General features: G+C 40.9%; 5 annotated features.

The window, feature by feature from the left end:
• Positions 4,431-4,510: an enhancer, noted in NCBI's record as "active region_23365". NCBI's record gives its function as "activates an Ori minimal core promoter by ATAC-STARR-seq in GM12878 lymphoblastoid cells {active_cell/tissue: GM12878}" and the evidence as "EXISTENCE:reporter gene assay evidence [ECO:0000049][PMID:35858748]".
• Positions 4,911-4,960: an enhancer, noted in NCBI's record as "active region_23366". NCBI's record gives its function as "activates an Ori minimal core promoter by ATAC-STARR-seq in GM12878 lymphoblastoid cells {active_cell/tissue: GM12878}" and the evidence as "EXISTENCE:reporter gene assay evidence [ECO:0000049][PMID:35858748]".
• Positions 7,976-8,055: a silencer, noted in NCBI's record as "silent region_16490". NCBI's record gives its function as "represses an Ori minimal core promoter by ATAC-STARR-seq in GM12878 lymphoblastoid cells {active_cell/tissue: GM12878}" and the evidence as "EXISTENCE:reporter gene assay evidence [ECO:0000049][PMID:35858748]".
• Positions 8,346-8,395: an enhancer, noted in NCBI's record as "active region_23367". NCBI's record gives its function as "activates an Ori minimal core promoter by ATAC-STARR-seq in GM12878 lymphoblastoid cells {active_cell/tissue: GM12878}" and the evidence as "EXISTENCE:reporter gene assay evidence [ECO:0000049][PMID:35858748]".
• Positions 8,446-8,495: an enhancer, noted in NCBI's record as "active region_23368". NCBI's record gives its function as "activates an Ori minimal core promoter by ATAC-STARR-seq in GM12878 lymphoblastoid cells {active_cell/tissue: GM12878}" and the evidence as "EXISTENCE:reporter gene assay evidence [ECO:0000049][PMID:35858748]".

Here is an 18,828-nt window from a genome sequence, read left to right on the forward strand (position 1 = left end):
AATGACAGGTCTAAGATGGTTACTACTTCATACAAGATGGTCAGGAAAAGCCACTCTGAAGAGAGGACCTTTGAGCAAAGAACAAAATGATGAGAAGGAAGTCTTAAGAAATGAACATACACAGGCTATGTGGAATCAGTACTAATGGCACTAATGCCTCAAGAGGGTCCACAGTCAGTAAATAACTACTGAAAATGATCCAAATTTCTCAGATGTACGCAGAAGGTTTGTTTAAGCACGCCCATCTTCACCACTTTTGTTCAAGAAATCTTTCATCATAAGCCCAATTTCATGATGTAGCCTCAAAATTATATAACTCTCTCAGGTTCGGTTATAACTAAGCATTGTTCTAAGACTAATGGAGTGACTCCTGGCCAGAGCAGGTTACAGAAAAAGAGCTGCAGTCAGGGAGTACATGTTATTGGTGACATTTAATATTGTGTTCTGCCTAATTAGGGTTTTTTTTTAAAGTTTTTGCTAAAAATCTCAGATGATCAGAGGGTCACTCAGACTTGACCCATGTTTACAGGTTAGAAGCCTCAAGAAGCAATAGTTTCTAAGGTCCATAGCTTTTACTACTCCTGTACGTCTCATAGCCATTCACTTTTCTCTGTGTCCAATCCTACTACTCCAGTCCAGGCCACCACCATCTTCCATTCCCATCTTTGTTCTCAGCCCCTTCTGATCTATTCCCCATAATGAAGTCAGGAGGATAGTTCTAAAATGAAAAATGTGCTGTGTCACTGCTGTCCTTAACACTCTTAAAACCGTTGATGGTGGCTACCCAACTCATGATAGTGGTGGTTACACAACCATATGCATTTGTCAAAATACACATAACTGCACACTAAAGAGCACATTTTACTGTTTGCAAATTATACCTCAGTAAACCTGACTTTCAAAAAATCTCCAGTGATAGGCACTGATCTTGAGTTAAAAATCTAACCTTTCACAGGCAGTGGTATTATGTAACTGATATTTATTCTCAGTCTGGGTTCAAAGCTCAGTTTCACATCTCTTATTAAATAGGTAACTTTGACCAAGTCACCTGAACTCTCCATACTCATTCTCCTTATTTGTAAAGATCATAATAGTACGCACGTTTTAGAGTTGTCATGAAGATTAAATGAGTTAATACCTATAAGGCATTTGGAGCCTAATGTTTAATAAGTGCTTATTAAATGTACAGTATTACTAACAAGGCTTATAATAATAATGTCCTTCATGATTAGTCCCCATACTAGTTTGCTAGTTTGTATTCATTGCTGTCATAATAAAGTACCACAAACCAGGTGACTTCAATGACAAGTTTATTGCTTCACAGTTCTGGAGGCTAGAAGTCTGAGATTCAAGGTGTCATAACTTCTGAGGGCTGTTAGGAAGAATCTAATCTGTTCCACATCTTTCTTCCAGCTTCTGGTATAGTGTGCTGGCAATATCTAGTGTTCCTTAGCTTGTAGTGTGTCACTCTGACCTTTGTCTTTGTCTTCTTGTGATCTTCTCCCTGTGTGCCTGTCTATCTTCAAATTTTCCCCTTTTTATAAGGATACAAGTTACAGTGGGTCTAGGAGCCCACCCTACTCCAGGTATGATCTCATTTTAACCAATCCCATCTACAACAACCTTATTTCCATGTAAGGTCACATTCTGAGGTACTAGGGGCTAGGATTTTAACATATAAATTTAGTGGGGCAGGGGGGTTACCTAATTCAACTTGTAATATGCCCTGACAGGTTCTCTTATCATCTCTGCCCATAATATCTCTTCCAGCAACCTCACATACCCACCCATTTGTTTGGCAAACTAATTCCTATTTGTCTCTCAGGTTTAAGTTAGATCTTGCTTTCTCAGAGAAGTCCTCCTTAATATTTTGCCACCTCCCCATTTTAGATTTGGGTCTCATATCCTCCCAATTCCCCCATGTACTTACACCCCTCATAACAGTTTTTACTCTGCTTTATACTTGACTGTTTACTAACCTGTCTCCCCACAAGACTTCAAACACTTTGCACCCAAGAACTGTTTAATACTGTGTTCCATAACCCAGATGCATCTCAAGTAAATATTTGTTGAATAAATAAATGTTAATGTCCCTTCCTATATTCTAGACATCACTTATTTTATAATTCTATGTATGTTTAGAAGTAGAAACTACAAAAATTAGAGAGTAAAAGTTTTTAAGTAACATATCATTAGAGTTTACTTTGAAGATGAGAAACCATGCTAGGTATTTCAAATAAAAGGTATTAAATACAGGGAGTTCATTGCACAGTTCTTGGAAGTTTATACAAACAAAAAGAAAATGATGAAGAAATTTAGATATGAGTAACTGCAGAAAGTAGCTACCACGTATAGCATTGAAAGAAGAGAAAGGAAATGGAAAGGCTACAAGAAACTCAAATTTATAGGGGGTTGCCATGCCTATCTGATGCTTACACCTCAGGAGGAGGAGAAACCATGTGGCTGGATCTCAGACTTCTTAGTTGGGAAATACCCGCAGCTTATAGTGGGGGTGCCGAGTTCATTGCACAGTTCTTGGAAGTTTATACAAACAAAAAGAAAATGATGAAGAAATTTAGATATGAGTAACTGCAGAAAGTAGCTACCACGTATAGCATTGAGAGAAGAGAAAGGAAATGGAAAGGCTACAAGAAACTCAAATTTATAGGGGGTTGCCATGCCTATCTGATGCTTACACCTCAGGAGGAGGAGAAACCATGTGGCTGGATCTCAGACTTCTTAGTTGGGAAATACCCGCAGCTTATAGTGGGGGTGCCAAAAGGAGCTAGAGATAGAACGCTAACTCTCCTTTGTTGCCAGAAGGAAACATCAAGATACCCAGCAAGAAATTCTGTGAAATATAGTTAGTAGACTTCCAGCACTAGCATCATAGAACAGACAGGAAGGTGGAATTGAAGCTGAGATGCGATAGGTACGTAACCAGCACAAGAACCTGATATAAAGGTATACAGGTTTCACATAATTAGGAAACAGGGCTGCCGATGGGTTTCTAACTCTACCTCCGTCACTGGTTGACCTTGTCCTTGGGCAAACATCTTTCTTCCTCTGAGCTTTAGATTCCCCATCCATGGCAGGGGGAAAGAGCTAGATGATCGAAGGGCCTTTCCAAGTAGGAGCTGGGATTTGACAGAAGCAGCACCAGGGAGTTGCTGGGATTTCTGAATGACATCACTCTAGAGGGTCCTATCTCAGGCTTTAGCCATCAAACAAATAGGGCATCTCCTGTTTCTGGTTCTGCAGCTACTGTTTACATGCTCCAATAAAGGCAGAGGAAGGAAGCCAGGGCTGAATTTCTTCAATGTGGTGACTCTATTGGCCAAACTGATTCCAAAACGTGCCATTAAGAGGAATGTTTCACTGAACTTGGAGCAGTAAATGGAAAAATAACCAAAATGACAGCAGGGGGAGGAGGGGTCGAGGGGAAAAAGGAGCAAGTTGGGAGGTGAGTAAAGAGAGCATGTGATTTTTAGACACACAGATCCTAAATTTGCCACGCGTCTGATTCACAGCAGCATTGTATTCTCCAGTTCTGTCTTCCTGACATTGCCTCTCTGCCTTTCAACAGTCATGGCTCTTTTTGAAAGTCGGTTATAATGCACAGAGACTGGGTTCAAGTCTCAATTCAGCCACATACGAGCTGGGGGACCTAAAACAAGTCATTTATTTTTGCCTCCTGTCAGCCTCAATTTCCTCACCTGCAATTCTGCCTGCCTCTCAAGATCATGAAAATTAAATGAGCTAATATGTGTGGAAGTGCTTCCTCAATCTGGGTGCTATGTATAAAATGTAGTCATTTTTTGAAAATGCATTAGGCATTAAAATACACTTATAAAAATGCATTGAGCATATTTAAGATTTTTGTACTTATTTGTATGTTATACTTCAATAAAATAATTACAAAAAAGGTAAAACTATGAGAAGAAGTAAACGGTGGATTAAATTTATTTAATTTATGAACTAATGGTAGTAACATGTGATAAGTGACCAACTTGGATAACATAGGCAATAGTATGAGTTAACATATAAGGGGAGCAAAGCGCTCTAAATTTTATATACATAGCTAAAATTCTGTAGGTATAGCCTTTATTTAAATTCTAGCTTTGCAAAAGAAACCTATGGTCATTGTAGAAAATTTGGGATCTATAGGAAAACACAACGAGGAAAGTAAAAAGTAACCATAATTTCGGCCCATATACAAAAAAAAAGTAATCTGTGAATTGTAAATGCTACTCAACTAGCTGACGAAAATGTTATTTCTTTATTCATTTCCTCCTCCTCTACTTCTTGACATGCTCAGAAGTTGAGAATTATTATAAGCCAGATGGGGCAGCAACGCAGGGGCCTGCAGAAGGCAGGAAGGTAGCACAAACAAGTGGAACAGTGGGATGAGTCACCACAAATGCAATGACAAATGATAGCTGCCCACTCAGCCTGAAAGCCGGGGGACTTCAGGGAGAGGTGGAGACTGGCAAACTCCAAGCCATGTGCCCCAAGGGAGCAGGCTCTTCTCAGCTTCAGCTCGCTCCTTTCATATTTCCAGTGTGGCTGGGTCATTGACATTACTGAGAGAAACTGGCAATCTGGAATGCTGTGTGAAGATACTCAAATTTTAAATGTTAAAGCCTAATTAATTTTTTACACTCTGCAGGCCACACCAAAGACATCCATAGGCCAGATGTGGGCTGTGAATGCCAGTTTGCAACTGCTGCTAATGGCAAAGGCAGTGTGGGGGCGGGGGAAGTTCACTGAAGGTCTTGGGCTGGGAAGTAACAGGAGCACGTTTGTAGTTCAGAAAATTCCTGGGGTAGCTGGTAGGAAGGAGAGACTGGAGTGGGGAGAGACTGGAGGTGATATAAATATATTTCTCTGAGTGAGTGATGATTGGTGCCTCAACTAGGGCTATAAAAAGAAGCTGGAGTGGGAGGGGAAGGGGTGTGGTGTTGGAGAGTTGATGCAGGGAGGGGCTGGGAGCCCAAGGGGGTGCCCATGTAGCAGTTTTGCCTAGAGCCCTGGAGACCCACAATTCAAGTTTGAGGAACAAACTTGTTTCATAACAGACAACCGGAAAGGAGAAATTGCTTGGTATTGGGGAGGCCTTCTCCAAAAATAGCAAAAAGGTGAAACAAGCCACTAATTGTGGAACTTGAGGGCAGGGCCTTGGAGGTTGTGAACACTGAAAGAAATGTGGGCTGAGCAGCCTCAACTAGAGATCAATGGAAGAGAAGGGAACAAATTTGATATGAAGTCCTACACCTTGAAGGGACTGCAGATGCTTAGTCTAAGGAAGAAAAGACACAAGGAAAATGGAGCTTGCTTGCAAAGATTACTTATTGAGCATCAACACATTCAGGAGTTCCAGCTGGTGCTAGATTTGGGGGATATAATGATAAGCAACAGCAAGTAAAGTCTATGTTGTTTCTGCCCTGAGGGAGTGTTTGGAAAATATATTAATGGAATGATCTCACAAATAAAGGCGAAGGTGCAAGGCTGAGATAACTGCTGGGAAGAAGGGCCCAGTGTTTTGAGAGCATGTCCCAGAGGGTGGGGATGTAGACTTCCAGAGGAAACGATGATAAGACTGAGAGCTAAGAGATGAGCAAGAAAGTAAGAGATAAACAGAAGGGAAGGAAAGACTTTTAGACATTGGGAACAGCATGTGCAAATACCTGACTCACAGGAAGGGCTGAGAAGGTCAGCATGGCTGCAGCACGCTGTGAGGGACATGCAGGGCTGTCTCCAGAGGCCCATGAGCTGTGGGACAGAGGAGCGATGGGGCTTGTTCTGTGTGGTCTGCAAATGCATCCATTAGGGGTGCTGCAGACAGTTATTCAGTTATTCTAAGAGACTTACGGTGGAGGTGCTGGGAGTTTCTTTATTTTAAATTCATGAAAATAAAAAGGTAGCATTTATTCAGTTTCACCATGTGCCAGGCCCTGTCTAAATAGTTGTCTCGTGAATCCACACAATAGTCTCAGGTGGTAAGTGCTCCCGTTACCTACTGCTGTGTAACAAACAATCTTAAAAGAGCTGGTGGCTGGAGTAGGCTGGGTGGGGGATCTGTCTCCATGCAGCTGCTCCATCGCATGGCTACTTTGGGCTTCTTCATAGCATGGAGGTCTCTGAATAGTATACTTCTTACATAGTGGAGGACTTTCCCCAGAGCAAGCAGTTCTGGTGAGACAGGCAGAAGTTGCCAGTCCCCTAAAAGCCTAGCTCCATAACTGGCAGCCTCACTTTCACTGAATTCACTGGACGTAGCAGTCACAGGTCAGACCACATTCGAGGAGGTGGAAGAATAAACTCCACTTCTTGATGGGGCAATGGCATGTGCATGAAGGATACAAGGAATCCAGGATGGTTATCTTGGAGACAAGCCTTTATACAATCCCCATTCTACAGATGAAGGGACCAAGGTTAATAGACACACTTTCCCAAGATCATACAGTCAGCAGCAAGTGGCAGAATTGGGATGCAAATCCAGGTCTATCTGACTTCAAAACATCCTGTCTTTAGTTACTGTCATGTTCCTTTCACAGGATAGGATGGGGCCATGAGAAAAGTCCTCAGCTGTGAGTCCTGGGTTCTGATCCCTGCACTGCCTCCAATTTGCATGTGACAATTATAAGCCACTTCCCACCTGTGGGCCTCAGGCTTCTCATCTGTGCAGGGAGAATTGGACTCCTGGGTCTTGCATGGCAGTCCCAGCTTTAGGATTCTGGGGTTTTGAGGGTCTGTGCTGCATCCTCAGGGCTTGTTGGTCACTGACCTGCTGCTTCACTCAGCATGTCAGCCGAGTGAAGCATATCAGCATGTCAGAGCCCTCCAAGGGGCAGTAGCCTCTGTTCTTCCTCTTTCCCTTCCCTCTTAGCAACACTCTGCTTTGCTCCCGTGGCTGCTCTGTTTACCCAGTCTCTCCTCCATTTTCCAGTAACCAGTAAGAAGTACTTTAGGTCTCTCCTCCTCAACAGGCTCCCCTGAGTGGCTGATTTTAATCTTGACTCTGAACTTCACAGAGGCTGAGACCAACATCTTTTTATGAGTCAGTGCATATCAGTATTTGCTGAGCTTTGCAAATAATTGGCAGCTCAAGAGTGAATTGAAGGATCATTCATATAAGCAATTGCATGTTCTTGTTTTGTTCAAACCAACAAACTATACACACAACTGCAGACCGTTGAGGACAGCAATTGTGTCTGAATTACTCACCATTGTATCAACAGCACCTTGCAAAGTGACTGACCCAGAAGAGGTAATCAAATTGTTACACTTTTTGGTTGCATTGGCAAAATTTATTTAAATCCCTGACATTTGAATCTTTAAATATTAGTTTTACGGTTCAATTCACCCGCGAAAATATTTGAGTGCAATTTTCCTCTTTTGTCTATTCTATTATAGTTACTGATAATTTTTCTCCTTATTGGTTTTTGCAAGTCTAATATTGTTTTTCCCTAGGAATATCCCCTTTTCCACTTAAGCCACTGAAATTTAAACTTCCCTTCAGGCCTTTTCCTTTTCTTTTCTGGCTCAGCTAAAAGGTAAAATAAATCAGTAACAGAGATTGAGAGTCAGAAACCATATATTCTAGACCTGTTTCTCCTACTACCTCTGTGATATTTCTCAAATTCTTTCCTCACTAAGGACCTGTTTCCCTGTTTGTATTAAGAAAGGGTTGGTATGTCAGTGGATATTTTTCAGCAATGGAAGATTTGCACAAATACAAATTTACGCAGAAGCAGGATACAGAAAGCAGCCAGAAGTGGAGCAGCACCAGCCGGGGTGGGGACCAAGACCTCCCACCCTCCTTGGTGTCTGTCTGCCTTTGAGGTCCCTCTGCCAAAGTGGCGCTCTGCTGAGCAAAGTAATCCCTCAGGGCACTCCAACTCTGAGACAGAATGATTTATAGCCCTGTTAATCCACCAGGCTGTCAAAAACGGCCACATCAGCAGACATACACAGAGACATGCAGTCACATACACTCAGGACAAAAAATAAGCCCCAGAAACTGCTTGAGCAAGCTCAGGCTTTTCTCTAGCACCTTCCTCATTTGTTCAAGTTTTTGCCATCTTTATTTTCATTTCCTGGTTTCTTCTCACATCCTTCCTCTTTTCCCCTCCAAGTTACTAAAAATTCTAACAATTTCTACTTTTACTTCTTTGCTGTTATCTGCGGCACATCGTTGCCCCACCCCCACTCTTGGTCGCTATAGTCACAGATTTATTATTGAGTTTGTTAACTTTTGCTTCTCAATTTCTCCACCCAAAAAAAGAGGAGATGAAGGAAAGGACTCTTGTGGCCATGACACTATATTCAAGAAATCTGTGGAGCATTAGTTTTGATTTTCGGTTTTGTTTTTACTGAATTGCACTTTTTAATAGTAGTCATAGTAAAAACTCAAACAAAACAGGTGAGTACCAAAATGAAAGTAAAAGTATACTGTCGGGGCCGCTCCACAGGTCCCATGCCCCAGTCCCTAGTCCCCTATGTTATATATACGTTGTTAATTGCTTCTACTTTCCAAAATATGTTTGTGAATATAAACACGTGTTACTTATACTAAAAGGCGATATTTTACGTAGTTTTGTTTCAACCTTTCTTACTTCATATCTGGGAGATCTTTATGTACCAGCATATATATCTAGTTCATTCTTTGAACTACAGCATAAAATGTCATTGTACATTAGACTAATTTATTGAATTTATATACACATATTCCTATGGTGAGCATTTATGTTGGATAGATGCCACATACAACTGTTTGTTTACACAAATGGAGACATGCTACTCACACTTGTACAATTCACTTTTTTACTTCTTGATGTATTTTAAATATTGCTTCAGATCAGCTGGCACAGAGCCACCTTTCTAAAAAAATAATAGACTTCCAGCCTGAGCAATATGGTGAAACCCCATCTCTACAAAAAATACAAAATTAGCTGGATGCAGTGGTCCCAGCTACTCAGGAGGCTGAGGTGGAAGGATCACTTTAGCCGGGAGGCAAAGGTTGCAGTGAGTCAAGATCTCACCACTGCACTCCAGCCTGGTGACAGAGTGAGACCCTGTCTCAAATAATAATAATATTAGACTTTATTTTTTAAAGCAGAGGTTCACAGTAAAACTGAGTAGAAAATACAGAGATTTTCCTTACACTCACTGCCCTCACACACACACACCCACACACACACAGCCTTCCCTACTAGCAACATCCCACACCAAAGAGGTATATTTGTTACAATCGACGAACCTATACAGTCAAATCATAATCATCCAAACTCCACAGTTTATGTTAAGGTTCATTCTTGATGTACATGCCAAGGGTTTTGACAAATGTAGAGTGACATATCTTACATCTAACATTATGGTATCCTACAGAATAGTTTCACTGCCCTAAAAATAGTTTCACTGCTCTTCTGTGATCCATGTACTCATCCCTCCCTCTCCCCAGGCCCAGGTCCATACAGTAAAAACAGGATGGGGCCATGAGAAAAGTCCTCAGTATGGATACAGTAAAAACATCCTGTTTTTACTGTATCCATAGTTTTGCCCCTTCCAGAATATCATATATAGTCATGTGCCAATTAGTGACTGGGATACATTCTGGGAAATGCATCATTAGTCGATTTCATCATTTTGCCAACATCATAGAGTGTACTTATACAAACCTAGATGACAGAGCCTACTGCACACCTAGGCTGTATGCTATAGCCTATTGCTCCTAGGCTATAAACCTGTACAGCTTGTTACTGTCCTGAATACTGTAGGCAACTGCAACACAATGGTAAGAATTTGTGTAGCTAAACATAGAAAAGGTACAGTAAAAATATGGTATAAAATATAACAAATGGTACACATTTTAGGGCACTTTCCGTCAATGGCAATTGCAGGAGTGGAAGTTGCTCTGGGTGAGACGATGAGGAAGTGGTTAGTGAATGTAAAGACCCAGGACATTACTGTACACTAGTATAGACAGTATAAATACTGTTTGCTTATGCTATGCTGAATTTATAAATAAAATAATTTTTCTCTCTTCAACAATAAGCTTAGATTATTGTAACTATTTTACTTTAAAAACAATTTCTCTTAACTTTTTTATTCTTTTGTAGTAACACAGCTTGAAACACAAATACAGAGGAAGATAATTTTTTTCTCTCCTTATATCCTTATTCTATAAACTTTTACCTATATTAATGTTATTTTTATTTTTTACTTTTTACATTTTTCTTTAAAAACTAAGACACAAACACACCATTACCCATTAGCCTAGACCTATGTAGGGTCAGGATCATAAAAATCGGCACCTTCCATCTCCACACCTTATCCTACTGGAAGGCCTTTAAGGGCAATAACACCCAGGGAGCTGTCATGTCCTGTGATAACAATGCCTTCTTCTTCTGGGATACCTCCTGAAGGACCTGCCTGAGGCTCTTCTTGAGATGTCACTCTTTTCAGAAATGTGTTCATGGTGGTTTGTTTGGTTTGTTTCTTTTATTCATCATAGATTTGCTTGTAAATAGATAATGCACGATGAACATTCCTCTCTACTAATGAAAATCATTTCATGTTGGAGTCAACATTTTCAAACGTTTTAAGGAGTTTGTTGAGGTCTGCAAAAGCTTCTGCCTAAACCCATCACTGTGAATATCCTTGGGGGCTTTTCTTTTTTTCTCCTGTAGTTTCCTTTCCTCTTGCTATGCATTTCTGTTCTGGTTCCAGTAACTCGTCATTAGTCAATTCCTCAGTGACCACATCTGTGACCTCCTCAATATCATCCTCCTCCACATCCAGCTTAAAGTTGTTTGCCATTTCAACTAAAGCCTTGTGAATATTTTTTTTTGCAACATCCTCATCCTTAGCAATGTTTTGAAGTCATGGACAAATGTCTTCAATATCTCTTCCCAGATAGCATTTACACACTCCTTGGTGACTTCACCCCCAACTTAACCAAGGTTGTTGATGCTGCCATAGATGTTGTAATCCTTCCAGAATTGCACCAGTGTGTTTAAAAAGGATCTTTCTTATTTGCAGCAATAGCCTAGGCAAAGGTCCTCCTCAGGTAGTAATCAGGCCTTAAAAGCTGCTATAACTCTTTGATCCATTAGTTGGAACAAAGGGGTGGTGCTTGGAGAGAGAGACAACAGTGTGACGTTGAATGAAGATAACCAAAAAAAGAAGGATGTGCAGGAGCATTATCAAAAATAAGCAAAACCTTGAAAGCATATTATTCCCCAAACAGTACTTCTCCATTTCACTGGCAAAGTTTAAGGAGGACATCTTGGAAGAGGAGCTGGATCATTCATAACTTATTATTCCTGTAGTACACTGCAGTGTGTGCTTACTGATATGCTTGAAGGCCCTGGGGTTTTCACTGTGCCAGATCACAGAGGATTTCAATTTGTAGCCTGAAACATAGCCCCCAGGCAGGGCTGTTCCTTTTTTTTTTTTTTTTTTAGACGGAGTCTCGCTCTGTCGCCCGGGCTGGAGTGCAATGGCGCCATCTCCGCTCACTGCAAGCTCTGCCTCCCGGGTTCACCCATTCTCCTGCCTCAGCCTCCCGAGTAGCTGGGACTACAGGCGCCCGCCACCACGCCCGGCTAATTTTTTGTATTTTTAGTAGAGGCGGGGTTTCACCGTGTTAGCCAGGATGGTCTCGATCTCCTGACCTCGTGATCCGCCCGCCTCGGCCTCCCAAAGTGCTGGGATTACAGGCGTGAGCCACCTCGCCCGGCCAGGGCTGTTCCTTTTAAGGAAAAGCCTTGAAACTTGGCATTGACTTGGCATCCTTTTGGACGAAGGTCCTTTCAGGCATGTTTCCAGAACAGAGAAATTTCATCCATATTTGCTCTGGCAAGTAATTTTGCTCCACAATCAACTTATTAAGAGTTTCCAAAAATTATTCAGTTGCCTTCGCTTCAGCACTCACAGATTCACCACTCGCTTTCACATTATGTAATACGTAAGAATTCTTGAATTGTTTAAGCCAAACTTGTCCAACCTGCTGCCCGTGGGCCACCTGCAACCCAGGAAGGGCTTGAATGTGGCCCAATACAAACTTGTAAACTTTCTTAAAACATTATGAGATTTTTTGCGATTTTTTTTTTAGCTCATCAGCTACCGTTAGTGTTAGTGTATTGTATGTGTGGCCCAAGACAATCCTCCTTCCAGTGTGGCCCAAGACAATTCTTCTTCCAATATGGGAAGCCAAAAGATTGGACACCCCTCATTTAAGCCATCCATAACTAGCAGTAAGTTGAACACCATGGTTGGAGTGAGCCTTTTATTTCCATATCTCAAATAAGATTGCAGCATTGGTGGAATGGGACACGCCTGACTGGCAAGTGAAAACCAAGACTGATTTTCCACCTCTGTGGCCCCTAGTCGCTTTTAATTTTGTTTCCAGGTCAATCCTTCAACATGGCCTCTTACTGACAATACTAACAGTGGGTTTTGTACACTTAGGGGCCATGATGAACAAAACAACATGAGATTAAATCAAGATCAAGAGAAAATTAAGCAATTAAGAGACATGTAAAATAAGACGTGTGAGGCTGCTGCCAATATAACAAGACATATTGTTCTGCAATAAACTTTTTCTTCATAGGGAGTACACTCTAAAATAATGATTAAAATACAGTGTGGTAAACATGAGTTTTTATTATCACTATCAAGTATTATGCATGGTACATAATTTTATGTGCTATACTTTTATAGACTGGTAGTGCAGTTGGTTTGTTTACACCAGCATCACCACAAATGGGTGAATAATGCATTGTGCTATAACAGTATGATGTCTATGATGTCACTAGGTGATAGGGAATTTTTTTTTTTTTTTTTTTTGAGAAGGAGTCTCGCTCTGTCACCCAGGCTGGAGTCCAGTGGCACGATCTCTGCTTACTGCAAGCTCTGCCTCCCAGGTTCACACCATTCTCCTGCCTCAGCCTCCCAAGTAGCTGGGACTGCAGGTGCCCGCCACCACACCTGGCTAATTTTTTGTATTTTTTTTTAGTAGAGACGGGGTTTCACTGTGTTAGCCAGGATGGTCTCGATCTCCTGACCTCGTGATCCACCCACCTTGGCCTCCCAAAGTGCTGGGATTACAGGCGTGAGCCACCGCGCCTGGCCAGTGATAGGGATTTTTTAGCTCCATTATAATCTTATGGGAACACCATAGTATATGAGGTCCAGTTGACTGAAACATCATTATGTAGGGCATGACAGTAGCTGAAATCGTACAGTTTGTCACCTTTTCAGATTGGTTTCATTCAGTTTGTGATATACATTAAGGTTCCTCCATGTCTTTTCATGTCTTGATAGCACATTTCTTTTTAGTGCTGAGTGGGATTCCATTGTCTGGCTGTACCACAGTTTATTAATCCATTCACCTACTGAAGGGCATCTTGCTTGCTTCCAAGTTTTGGCAAGTATGAATAAACCATTCTGCTGCTATAAACATTCATACTGCTATAAACATCCATTTTTGCATAATAATCTATAGTATGTCAATACATTAATTTATTTAGGCATGCTCCTTTGACATACATTTAGGTTAGTTCCAGTTTTTGGTTTTTCTTGTTGTTATGTCAAACAATATTGCAATGAACATCCTTTATGTATATTCTTTATGTATTTGTGTGCATGCACCTGAAAGAGAAATTCCTAGCATTGGAATTGTTGAGTCAAAGGGTATGTGCACTACAAATTTTGATGGAACACTAATAAGGTCTACCAGTGTCTGTTTCCAACTTTAAGTTTTTATAAGATATTAAATTTGCCGGTATTCTATATTTAAAAACAGAAAATTTTCTTGTTGTTTGTGGATTTTGCATGTTGATCCATTCATTCCTTTTCATCCTTCACTGCCCAGACAACCACTCCATGAGCTCACACAGCTTGTCACACACCCTTCCCTGTGTCTCCTGGATGCTCCACTTGTCTGAGGTCTGTCCTATATTTTCTAGTAATAACAATCACAAATCCCTATAGGAACGCAGCTTTTCTCCTGCAGTCAGTCCCGAAGTCTTACACACATTTGTCCATTTGATTCTCACCACCAGTCTGGGAGCTGGCAGGAGAGGAGTATAAATTTGCTTTACAAATGAGGAAACAAAGCCCTGACACACAGCACAGACCCATGGGTGCAGCATCATGTCCCTCCCCTCACCAAATTTGCTTCTTCTCATCCACTTGCTTGGCACAGGGCTGCTGAGAACATCTCTGTGAAATAGCCTCATTTATCTAATTGTTGGCTGTTTCCCAGATTAAAGCTTTCCAAGGCCTTTCCACCCCCCTTCATGATTTGTCTTGAGCCTCAACTCCTCCCCTCAGTATTCAGGGGCTTTAAAAATATCTGGCCCAACTCACTATTACTGTTATTTTACTGTTCTCCTCCTCACATACCTGGTGCCCTAGGTCTCCTGGAACACTTGCTGTTTCTCAAGCATAGTTCAAAGGTTTCCACTTCTGTGCCTCAGTTCATGCTGCTCCTTCTCCCTGGCATTCCCTCCTTCCATGCCCTACTACCAAAATCACAGGCATCCTTCAAGCTCTGCTCAACAGCCACCAGCAGAATGAAACTTTTTATGATGTCTCTTCATCTTCCCTGACAGCACTAACAAGACTAGCTGTCTATTGAGTGAAGATCCCCTTTTTATACCTCTTTTGTAGCCTTTATCACACATCCTGTCCATCATTACCCTTTTTATCTTTGCCATCTTACTGTAAATCTTTGAAAAGTAGTACCACATGGAACTGCTAACCATGCCCCCATGAGCTTACAAGAGGACCTAGAAATAGGGGCTTAGCAGTGTTTCAAAACTCTCATACATATATTTTTCCAACATAGCAAAAATTGAATCATTTTCTATAAGCTTATATGCAATTTACTTTTTAATTTTAATTATAAAGCAAGGACAACTTCCTGAGTCAGTGCATTTAGATCTATTTAATTCTTTTTAATAACTGCACATCACAATATCTGAGTTTCTACTAATTTATTAGCCATTTCCTCTTCCTGAACAATTAATTTTCCTTAATCTTTCTTTATTACAATCAAAACTGAAACAATATCTTCACATACACACCTGACATTTACGGAACTAATTTCCAGCAATGAAAGTTTTAGGTGAAAAGATACATACATTTTACACTTTAATAAGTTTTGCCAAATCGGTGTCCAAACAACAGTGCCAATTTATTTTATTTTATTTTTTTGCAACCCCATTCATCTCTTGGCTGAAGATTCTTTGTTATCCAATGTTCACCTGCTCTTCTTGGAAGGCTTCTCCATGCCTCCTCCCCAGTGTTTACATGGGGAGATAGGGTACTAAATTAATCCTCTGTTGCCCATAAATTCAAGTTCCTAGCCATTTCCTCTTTCTGAACAATTAATTTTCCTTAATCTTTATTGCAACTAAAATTGAAACAATATCTTTACATACACACCTGACATTTAAGGAACTAAGAAACTCAAGTTCCTACCTCAATCATAGAATTTACTATGTTACGTGGAAGTCAAGTTTATGTGCTAATCTCCACTACTAGCCTGTGAGTTTCTTACAGGCAAGGACCCTGCCTCTTTGTTCATTTTTTTATATGTTGTAGCCCTTTACACAGTACTTTAGGAAGTTTAGGTTATTGTGTGTGTGTGAGTGTGTGTGTGTGTGAGTGTGTGTGTATTGGGAGTGGGGATTTGTGCAGGAAATGAGGAAAGAAGGAAAGTGCTGTGAATGGAGGAAGGGGCACAAGCAAAGCCCAGAGACTCACGGCCAATGATATCTAAGCCCTAACATCCTCCCTCTCTTTTTAGAAATTGTGACCAGGGTAGTTGGCCCTAAATCTTGATCATTTGGCATTTTTCCCATAAGTGATAGGAAACTGCTGCCTCTTTGCTCCAGCAGTCTGGTAAAACTCAGCTGTGAGACCCTGACAACCAGGGAACTTCCTTTTCAGCAGCCTGAGCATGCAGGCTTGATTGAGCTTGGACTATTGCATCTGAATCTTGTGTTAGTGGTGCAGAGTGAGACTTTTGTTTAGACAGAGCTGGGTTCCTTCTCTTCCTATTATCTACTATGTAACCTGAGGCAGGCTGCTTAATTTCTTTAAACTTCAGTTTTGTCATCTGTAAAATAGGAATAACTGTCTATTTTGAAAACTGTACAGAAATAAGAATAAAAGCAGGGAATATGTACGTAAGGGGCCAAGCCCAGCTCCTGGTATATAATAACGCATGATAAACAAAAAACAGGCTTATTGTTTTTCAGAACCCTTAACCACCACCAATTAACTATGATGTGCCAGGCACTGATCTTAAAGATCACTCGATTTGACTTTATCACTTTACAGATGAGGAAATTGAGTCCCAGAGAGAGGCAGTCACACAGCAGGTGAGAAGGCCAGGACAAGACTCTCCTTTCTCCAGGCCCAGGGCATGTTCCACCACCTCATAGCGATTAGACTTAGCCGGGGTACCTTGACCTTCTCTCCTTGACCCAGTGAGATTTCTCCCTCTGTGCCTCTCAAGAGAAGGCACTGCTTTGGAGAGAGGCTGCCCTGTTTCCTTTCCTTCCTCTGTCCTTCAGCCATCATCTGTTTTATCTCTTCCCATTGTTTCCCCTTCAGCCCTGCTCCTTGACCTCCTCTTCTGTGGCAGGTGCTGCTTGATCTCCACAACCATTTCACTTCTTCTTTCCTCCAGGGCCTAAAAAATACTGTGCAATTCCCTTTCTTAAGCTCTAGCACTGGGCAGTTTGCACTTAGATGCAAGAAGTTGTAGGTACTATCTCTTCCCCGTGGAAGGTTTCCTGAGTGCCACAGCCAACAGAGCTCCCCTAGGTTTCATATCAATAATTAATTGAGCACTGAGTATGGGCCACATCAGTCCTAACTACTTTACAGACCTTAACTCATTTGATCTTCATAACAACTTCATGAGGTTGTGAGATAATATCAACAGCCCCAATTTACAGATAAGGAAAGTGAGACACAGAAAGGTTAAGTGACTTGTTTAGGATTTTATAACTAAGACTTGGAGAAAGGAGGAAACCAAGCAGTAGGCTCCAGAGCTGCTCCTAGGATCAGGCAACACTGGGTCTTTGCCTTTGCTTCTTCCCTTCTCTGAGCTGTTTCTCCCACTCCCTGACTGTTTTCTTTTGGGAGCTTTCCTTCCTCAATCACTTGCATACAAATCATCTCAAGGCAGCTGCTAGAGAATCAAACATTTGGACATCCCTCCAAATCCACCCCAAATGTTACCACTGTTCATAGGTTAATATATAAAAGGATTTTTTTCCTCTTAGATCAATTTATTTATTCATTCGAAGAACTGCCCTTAGAGAAACTAGTGTAATTTCCAGAAATTGGGGTTGTCCCAGGAAATCCAAGATGATGATAATGATGATGATGGTAATAATGATAAATAATTTTTTTTGAAACAGCATGCTAAGTTCCTTAAATGCATTATTTCATTTAACGTTCCAAAACATCCTCTGAGAGTGCTGCTATTCAGGCAGTGCTTCCACCATAATCGTGACCACCCACAGACACATCACTTCAGTTTCTCATCTCCTAATCATTATGATATTTTTAACTTCCATTTTGATGTCCAACCAAAACCTCAAATTCAGTATGGTAATATCTGAATTCATTGCCCCTTCCTGTCCTACAGCCACACTCAGTCCACTGCTCTCCTTGCACCCTGCTTGGTAATGGCCTCCTCCACTCTCTTGACTCATTCCCCCTTACCCCCCAGCCAATCCCAGTTATGCTGATTCGTTTTTTGTCATGACTTTTGGTTCTCTCCCTTCCTTTTCAAATCTAGTGTTTTATATATTCCGTCTATTTCTTCCAACTATCCAAGGCATTTTACCCTCGAGCCCTCTGAGGCCCAGAAGCCTAAAGCATATTGCCTGAAGCACACAGCTGATCAAGGACAGTGTCATCATTGGAACCCACATTCCTTCCTCTGGCTCCAAAGCCCATGCTCTTTCTATCACTGAAGTGTATCCCATTAGCACAAGTCCAGGACTGAGATACCTGCAGGTGTAATCAGAAATTATTTTAAATAATTTAGTAACAGTACTTTAAATAACAGTGTACTACTTAGGAGTTATTCCCTTTTCAATTTTCTTTCAACCTTTTAAAATAAATGGAGAAAGTCCCATCTGATGCTAGAATACTAACGGTATTGCAAATCTTCCTTTTCAATAAAAAGAGAGCAGGCCTAAGGCTCAGAACTTTGGCAAGCAACAAAATCTAGCTAGCATTTACTAACATTGTTTTGTCTTCATGGTTACTTTCTATTTATGGCAAATGACACGAGTTTTCCACGTGTGGTAATGGCAGTCATATAAAATTTTCTTTAAAAATAAATGCATTGAGTTTTAAAAATGAGTCAATAATTTTAAAAATCATAAAAGTTTTAAAAGTGAGTCAATAATTTAGAAAACTGTAGAACACCTGCTGTTCAGAATAGCATAAATCACAAAGATGAAATGTGAATAGCTGAAATATGGAGGATAAAAAAACATAATCAAGTTGTTGTGTAGGATATTGGCAATTTTTGCTTGTCAGCTCCATGGTACTTCTTCCGAATCAAAAATTTATCTCCTCAGTGGCCCTCAAAGCACTTTCTTCCCACTATAGGCTTGTTCAGTTTAGAGTAGACAGGCCCTTGGATGTTACCAAGCCCAACTTCCTATTTCATAAATGAAGATTGAGAAACAAGGCAACTTGCTTAAGGTTACAATAGAATATGAGAGCTGTTTTGGGACTAACACCTAGGTCTCCTAATCCCCCATCCATGCCCTCTCCACTGAA

The sequence above is a fragment of the Homo sapiens genome, chromosome 5, assembly GCF_000001405.40.
Source record: "Homo sapiens chromosome 5, GRCh38.p14 Primary Assembly".
Lineage (NCBI taxonomy): Eukaryota > Metazoa > Chordata > Mammalia > Primates > Hominidae > Homo > Homo sapiens.